The following is a 9,035-nucleotide window of genomic DNA, read 5'->3' on the forward strand; positions in this document are numbered from 1 at the left end:
TTAACCAGCCTCCAGCCTGAAACTGTCGTATCTTAGGGCTTTTTCTAAGAAAAAAATTTTCTTCGTATTGTTTAAGCCAGCTGAGTTTTTGTTACTTTTAGCTATCAGGCAGCATCTTAATTGATAACATTATTTAGCATTTGCTTATTTCATAATTAAATATTTAAACTTTTTTGACATTTAGTTTCATTTTTGATTGAAATTTCTTTTATGTCATATCTTTATCATTATTTATTTTACTTTACTAATAGGCTGGGTAAAATTTTTGTGTGTGTATAATTTTAGAAGAAGGGTACATTGGTGATATTAATTAATCTTTGTAAGTCTAAAATGCCTTTTTGTTCATCTCATGGGAATGAGAGCTTGCTTGAATGTTGGATTATTCATAGTTCAGTACATTTTAGATATAGCTGTTGAGGGTTCTGACTGTTTAGTGTACACCATCTTCTATTTGGTATGGAAGAAAGGTTTGAGGACCATCTGTCGTTATTGTGTGACCTATCTTTTTTTCTTGTCTAGAAGCTTGTAGAATTATTTGCTTGTTATTAAAATTAAAAATGTTAATCAAGGCCGGGCGTGGTGGGCTCACGCCTGTAATCCCAGCACTTTGGGAGGCTGAGGCGGGCGAGTCACCTGAGGTCAGGAGTTCGAGACTAGCCTGGCCAACATGGCAAAACCCAGTCTCTATTAAAAATACAAAAATTAGCTGGGCATGGTGTTGCACACCTGTAATCCCAGCTACTCAGGAGGCTGAGGCAGGAGAATCGTTAGAATCTGGGAGACGGAGGTTGCAGTGAGCCAAGATGGCACCGCTGCATTCCAACCTGGGCAACAGAGCAAGACTCTGTCCAAAAAAAAAAATGTTAACCAAGGCCATTTCCATCACAGTTATGGCGGCTAACACTAGTACCAGCTCCTTACAGCTGCTACTGCTAGAGCTTGTAGACAAATGTAAGAATCAAAAATTCTCATTGTGATGAAAACTGATAAGGAAATTGTTGATACTCTTCTAGGATTTGATAACTTTGTCAATATGGTACTGCAAGATATCACTGAGTTTGAAATCCCACCAGAAGAAAGAATACTAAATTAGATCAGATTTTGCTAAACGGAAATAATATAATAATGTTGGTTCATGGAGGAGGAGGACCTGAGGTATGAATGTGTTTCCTTGACTTATGCTGGATTCTGTTTTGTCTTGTAATGAAAAGAAAATAGATTTTTTTTTTTTTTGCCTTTTAGTGTTTAGATCCTGTAAAGCTAAGTTTCCTATTAAGGGAAATGTTTTGAAGATGTATACCCATTTTTGTAAGTTAATCATGATTATCTTGGAAAAGAAGAAAAGAGTTTCTTCGAAGACTAAAATAGAAGTGTTTTGGTTAAAAAATTCATCAAGGTATTATAAAATATAAATTGCTACTTCTTAATTTTGCCTAAGACTCAATAAATGTGTCTAATTATAAACACCCAAGGCTGTGTTCAGTTTCTAGAAGTGTTTCTTCTTATCATCTAGCTGGTTATTGATTTTCATTATGATCAACTCTTTATTTCTGTAAAACTTGTTTTCCAGATTTGAGATGTTCCTTGACTTACGGTGGAGTTACATCTTGATAAACACATTATAAGTTGAAGATATTGCAAGTTGAAAATGCATTTGATATACCTAAACTACTGAACATTGTAGCTTAGCCTAGCCTACCTTAAATGTGTTCAGAACGCTTACATTAGCCTTCAACTGGGTAAAATCGTTTGGCAACACACTGCACTGTAGAGTATTGATTTACCCTCCAGATCTCATGGCTGACTGGGAGCTGGGGCTCGCTGCCTCTGCCCAGCACAAGAGAGTCTGCTACTACATATTACTAGCCTGGAAAAAGATCAAAATTCAAAATTTAAAGTATGATTTCCACTAAATGCATATGGCTTTTGCACCATTATAAAGTTAAAATTATAAGTCAAACCGTAGTAAGACCATCTGTATTGGAAATCTGACATTATTATCTATGTGTCCTTTATAATTTGCATCTCTTTAGTCTGCCTCCACAGAGGCCTGAATTTCTCTTTTTTTTTTTTAACCGATTTGATCCTTGTAGTAGTCAGTTTATTCTTTATTGTTCCCATTACAGTAAAAAAGTTAGCAATCACACTTTTCAGTTTGAAACCTCTTTTCTAGCTTCAAATTGTTTTGTTTATGACTACAGATCTTGTTTTTATATCTGTATGATAAGATGCTTCTGTAAGGGGTTTAGCCAGCTATTAAACCTCCAGAGTGACCTCATTTCCTAAGCCAGCACCTTTGTCAGGTTTACACTGTGGTTGCCTTTGTAGCTCCCCACTGCATGAAGACTCCAGGTTTTATTGTACTTCCTGGAAATGCCAGCAGAATGAACAATTTCTCCCACAAATCATTGCATGACTTAGCTTTATTTTCAGGCCCCACTGCAAACCTTTTGGAGGCAGGTGCTGTCCCTTCCCTTAAGCCCTGCAGGCTGTCTTTTATACGTATTAGATTATGGGCATGTCAGTCCTCACATCTGTCTGTGCTGTCTTAGAGAGATTTCTTGAATTTTCAGTTTGACTAAGTACATCTATCTGTCATTTCCAAGTGGGTATAATTGTCTCCTTACTATATTCAAAATAGAAGAATGTGGGCTGAGTTTGGCATCTTGTATAGAATGCTACCATTTACTCCACTTTAAATTGAACCTAACATAGGTTGAGTGAGTTGTCCAAACTCACAGTAAGTAGCAGAGCCTGGTCTTAAACTTAGATCATTTGAACCCAAATTTTGTGTTCTTTCCACTATGGAAGTCAGTATGCATAGTAGTTAAGAGTGGGAGTCCTAGAGAAGGAGAGTAGACAGGTTCTGGCATCTGGAGGAGTGGGCCCATAGGGGATCATGACAAGGAATTGATTCTCTAGTCAAGCATGAACACGAAAAGAGAATTTTCTTTTCACACCTTACTTCACAGTGTGACCACTGATTTCAATCCCACCTTTTGTGATACTTCCTCTAACATTGTTGTCATTGCCTTAACAATTGTCATGACTTGTTAGTTATGCGAGGAGAAGTGATCATGGGGCCATTTGCCCTGAGCATCCAGCCTCCAGTGGTCCTTCTATTCTGGGGCTAGGATGTCTGGGTTCCAATCCTGCTCAGTAGCCACCATGACCACAGAGAAATTACTAATGCAAATAGAAATGTTGATAATATTTATCGCACAGAAGTGTTGTAATGATGAAATGTGAGAGAACATGAAAAGTGACAGAAAGCAGGCAGTACCTTCCCAAACATGTGGGCCTACCCTAGAGCAGGCTCTTTGGTAGTTAATGAAGATAAGACAGCAAATACAAAGGTCAAGTTGCTCCCTTTTTTGGAAGAGAAAATAAATGAGTATTTAAAAAATGATAGTTGATGAGTTCCCAATAAATATTAGCTTCTCTTATTTATTATATAACTATTATTCAAGTGAGCCCACTAAGCCCAGGAACTAGTGAGAAAACTCTCTTAGCAATAAGATGGACTGATGTATTAGGTATTTTCCCAAAACATGATTTTTTAGAGGGTAGACTTCTCTCAAGAGGAGAAGGAGCCAGTTTTGAAAATTCATGATTCAAGTACTAATTGCATTTCAATTTAAACAAGTTTAATTCAGTTTTGTTCATGTTTTACTTGGCCCAACAAATTATCCTAGTGAGCTGTCTGTCTGCCGAGGAGGTGGGTTTACAACCTGAAGAGTCAATTTGGAAACTGAACAGGAGCTGAGCTGAGCTACTCTCTGACTCTGACATTAGATGTCACTACAATCAAAGGAAAGCAGAGCGGGCAACCTAGCAGTGAAGTGAAACTTGAACATGGTAGAGGAAAGAGACATGTTTAGATTGTGGTGCAAAGTTCCTGGATAAGAACTTGTGATATGATTTGCCTATCCACCTTGCCATGGGGAAAAAGGAGAATTTTAATATATGTATGACAGCTGCATTCATTTTCCTAAGACATTGACTAGGAACAACTCCTAACCACTTTGCACATCTTGGTATTTCTTCCCCTAATAGATAATAGAACTGATAGAGGCCCCCAAGGATTTTCAGTGCAGAATATTCCTAATAGGTTCTAAACGAGAATTTTACTGGACCAGATCACTAAGTCTAGTTCTTCTAATGAGCTTAATGCTTAAAGCTTAAGTTGTCTTTCAAATATTCTTCAATTATAAACTTTATCAGGTGTTTCCAAAGTTTCTTTGCTTAAAGATGTGAAGAACCCCAGGTTACTGGTATTTGTGTGTTAAGAGTAGAATTACCAGGTACAGTCACATTTGTTTACTTAAGCAAAATATCTACAAACAGCTGGAGGGCAGGGGACCCAACTAATGTTTCCATTTATTGCTAGGCAACTGGGTGAACTGAAAAGTCCATCCTCCCAAGGGATATTATATTAAATATATCTTTTTATGTGTGTGAACTGGCACACACTATTGGAATAGATTCAGAATATCTAACAATTGATGCAGCATAGGTACCAATGAATTAAATCTAGCGATGGCTAGGGCTTCCAGGGGAAAATAAGGGTGCTCCATATGGGTGTAGGGAGGACCTGATGGGGAACAACTGCTGCAGTACCTATTTATCAACTCCTGAGGGAAGTACTTTGACATATTAATAACTGGGATGACTGTACCAGTATCTATTGGTTGAATATCAGCCTGTGTATATATAACTTGGCTTATCAAGAGCCCACAAGATCTCTGGTTTAGGTTCCAAGTACAAGTATCAAAGTTCATTCTCATTACCCTCTTGATAATGGTCTGGGCTGCTAATTTTTACATTGCTTTAGTGATGGGAAGGTCCCACATGGAGGGAAATTTTATGAAATATGCAGAGAGAAGCTTGGTCTTTACATGTCTACATCTTCTTTTTTCAAGCTGTGATGAAGGCCTTGATTCTGATGGGCATCAAGAGGCAGATACAGCTCAGAAGATTCAGAAAGGCAGACTCGTGTCTAACATAACTACATTACCTTGGTGATCCCAGGAATTAGTAGACTGATACTGGGGATAGGAGTGGGGTTCTCAGTATTGGTGACAAAGTTTGTTTTAAAGTGTCCTGATTTTTTTCCTTTGCTCTACATGAGAATTAATGCACCAGTTTGCAATATATGTAAACTGTTTCATGTAGATTTGTTGAAGAAGAAAGACTGGATTTCAAGGGCCTAAGAGCAGGCAGTTTTCATGTTCAAGGTGTTTTCACATCGTATGCAGTGCTTAGATTACTGAGCCCATAGTAGTTACCTAATTCTTATTTGATACTTGATTGATATTTTTGTTTTCTGTAGATTATTCTCATTGAGAAGAAACGGACCTATGACTGATTTCAGACCAGTGATTTTGGTAATGTTTTGAATTTACTGTAATTATTTAAGCTGTTCTTCTGAATACTTGTACCATTTTCTTGGTGATTCAGAACGAAACTTACAGCTAAATTATCTGGGTTATATTAATCTTTGCATGCATTAAAACTGCTGTTTTTATAATGGAAAGAAAGAGGACTACTACCTATGTATATCTCAATGTGTCTGTGCCACGCTGTTTTAATTATGCCAAGTGTTCACTGACAAAAGTGTGAATGGAGCATACAATTTAAAAATATGAACATGTTATTAATATTTGGCACTATAACTGTAACAATCACTGATTATCATCATGATTGGGGACCTTGTCTCACCAATACCAGAGACATATTGATGTCACGATGAACTGTATTTTTCTACTATTATGTGAAATTACTTTCTTTTAATTCCACTATTTCTCATTGTTTGGCCACTTTTACTTAGGGGTTTTCTCTCTATTTCATTGTTACATGTATTTTTTTTTGTTCAAATGTCTTAAAAATTCCAATTCTTAAGGTTGATTCCATTGTACATCTTTGAATTTCACAGTGTATAGTTAGATTGTAGTCTTGTCAAGATGAGAAATTACCATGATGCCATGATAGCTTCTAACAATGCTACTGTTTCAGAAGTCAGGATCCAAGGTCTCATAGACCAAATTAAGACCTCAAACTATGTGGCTTATTGAGTCAGAACACAGTGAGAAGCAAAGGACAAAGAGTAATGTAACTTGGATGGGATGCAAATGAGAAGGAGGGACTACAATACTTAAATCTAGAGCTGCATACTATCCATATATCCTGCCCCTTTCCACTTCATTAGTATTCCCTGTTAATGGTAGGCAAATGATGACTGAGTGCACATGGGAAAGGAGGCTCGGCAGAAAGAAGGTGCTCAAAGTCACCTTGGTATATCTGAGAGACCACAGGGCAAAATGACCAGTAGCTATTTTTATATAGCAATGACTTTTGTCTGTATGGGGCAGAAAACATGAGGAGCCAGAATGAGTGTCAACAACAGGTGACTGACTTAACTATGATGTTACTGAAGGTGGCATGATTTGAATCTAGAAAAATATACAAATATATATATATATACACACACACTTACACATATATACTTTTACATCTTTAATGATATTTAATTTGAATAAAATGCATTCATTTAAAATTACATTTCTAAGACTTTTGAAGAAAGTCTTATGTAACTTCTAGCACAATTAAGATACAGAATATTTTCATCAGTTTCCAAAATTTCCTTGTGCCACTTTGTAGTCAATGGCCCACCCTAAACCCTAGACAACCACTATTCTTTCTGTCTGTATAGATTAATTTTGTCTTTTCTAAATAAAATTATATAGAATGCGGTCTTTCGTGTTTAGCTTCTTATGCTAACCACATTTTTGAGATTCATCCATGTTATGTCTTGTATTGGTAGTTCATTCCTTGTTATTGCCGAGTGTTATTCCACTATATAAACAGATCTCAATTTCTTTAGCCACTCACCTATTTTTTTTCTGATTTTTTTCTTTTCTACTTTTTTAACTTTTATTTTAAGTGCAGGGTTATGTGTGGAGGTTTGTTACATAGGTAAACTTGTGTCATGGGGGTTTGTTGAACTGATTATTTCATCACCCAGGTATTAAGCCTAGTACGACTTAGTTATTTTTTCCTCTCCTCTCCCTTCTCCCATCCTCCACCCTCCAATAGGCCCCAGTTTATGCTGTTCCCCTCTGTGTGTCCATGTGTTCTCATCATTTAGTTCCCACTTAGAAGTGAGAACATGTAGTATTTGGTTTTCTGTTCCTGTGTTAGTTTGCTAAAGATAAAGGCCTCCAGCTCCATCTATGGCCCTGCAAAGGACATAGTCTCATTCTTTTTAGTGGCTGCATAGTATTTCATGGTATATATGTACCACATTTTCTTTATCCAGTCTATTATTGATGGGCATTTAGGTTGATTCCATGTCTTTGCTATTGTGAATAGTGCTGCAATGAACATACATGTGCATGTGTCTTTATAATAGAATGATTTATATTCCTTTGGGTATATAACCAGTAATGGTACTGCTGAATCAAATGGTATTTCTGTCTTTAGGTCTTGAGGAATTGCCACACTGTCTTCCACAATGGTTGAACTAATTTACACTCACACCAACAGTGTTTAACTATTCCTTTTTCTCCACAAACTCACCAGCATCTGTTACTTTTTGACTTTTTCAAAATAGCCATTCTGACTGGTATGAGATGGTATCTCACTGTGGTTTTGATTTGCATTTCTCTAATAATCAGTGTCACTGATTTTTTTTTCCAAAGGATTGTTGGCTGCATGTATGTCTTCTTTTGAAATGTGTCTGTTCATGTTCTTTGCTCACTTTTTAGTGTTTTTTTCTTTTCTTGTAAACTTGTTTAAGTTCCTTATAGATGCTAGATACTAGACCTTTGTCAGATGGATAAACTGCAAAAATTTTCTCCCATTCTGTAGGTTGCCTGTTCACTCTGATGATAGTTTCTTTTGCTATGCAGGAGCTCTTTAGTTTAATTATATCCCATTTGTCAATTTTGACTTTCCATGCAATTGTTTTTGGTGTTTTCATCATGAAATCTTTGCCCATGGTTGTCCTGAGTGGTACTGCCTAGATTTTCTTCTAGGGTTTTTATAGTTTTAAGTTTTATATCTAAGTCTTTAATCCATCTTGACTTAATTTTTATATATGGTATAAGGAAGGGGTCCAAATTCAATTTTTTGCATATGGCTAACCAGTTCTCTCGCACCGTTTATTAAATAGGGAATCCTTTCCCCATTGCTTGTTTTTGTCAGGTTTGTAGAAGATCAGATGGTTGTAGGTGTGTGGTCTCATTTCTGATTTCTCTATTCTGTTCCATTGGTCTATGTGTCTGTTCTTATACCAGTACCAGTGTTTTGGGTACTGTAGCCTTATAGTATAGTTTGAAGTTGTATAGCATGATGCCCCCAGCTTTGTTCTTCTTGCTTAGCATTGTCTTAGCTATTTGGGCTCTTTTTTGGTTCCATATGAATTTTAAAACCGTATTTTCTAATTCTGTGAAGAATGTCAGTGGCAATTTAATGGGAATAGCATTAAATCTATAAGTTACTTTGGGCAATATGGCCATTTTAATGCTATTGATTCTTCATTTCCATGAGCATGGAATGTTTTCCCATTTGTTTGTTTCCTCTGATTTCTTTGAGCAGTGGTTTGTAGTTCTTGAAGAGGTCCTTCACTTCCTTTGTTAGCTGTATTCCTAGGTATTTTATTCTTTTTGTAGCAATTGTGCATGGGAGTTCATTCATGATTTTGCTGTCTGCTTGCTTGTTGTTGATGTATAGAAATGCTAGTAATTTTTGCACATAGATTTTATATCCTGAGACTTCGCTTAAGTTACTTATCAGCTTAAGAAGCTTTTGGGGTTTTCTAGATATAGGGTCATGTCATCTGCAAACAAGGATAATTTGACTTCCTTAATTCCTATTTGAACACACTTTATCTTTTCTCTTCCCTGGCCAGAACTTTCAATACTATGTTGAATAGAAGTGATGAGAGGCCGGGCGCGGTGGCTCACGCCTGTAATCCCAGCACTTTGGGAGGCCGAGGCGGGCGGATCACGAGGTCAGGAGATCGAGACCATCCC

General features: G+C 36.8%; 1 pseudogene, besides 1 other annotated feature; it reads left to right on the forward strand.

Moving 5' to 3' along the window:
* Window positions 891–1,158, forward strand: LOC100131425 (LSM5 homolog, U6 small nuclear RNA associated (S. cerevisiae) pseudogene; annotated as a pseudogene).
* Window positions 3,635–3,929: a silencer, noted in NCBI's record as "tiled region #11479; HepG2 Repressive DNase matched - State 12:CtcfO". NCBI's record gives its function as "represses a minimal TATA promoter and a strong SV40 promoter by Sharpr-MPRA in HepG2 cells {active_cell/tissue: HepG2}" and the evidence as "EXISTENCE:reporter gene assay evidence [ECO:0000049][PMID:27701403]".

The sequence above is a fragment of the Homo sapiens genome, chromosome 7, assembly GCF_000001405.40.
Source record: "Homo sapiens chromosome 7, GRCh38.p14 Primary Assembly".
Taxonomy (NCBI): Eukaryota; Metazoa; Chordata; class Mammalia; order Primates; family Hominidae; genus Homo; species Homo sapiens.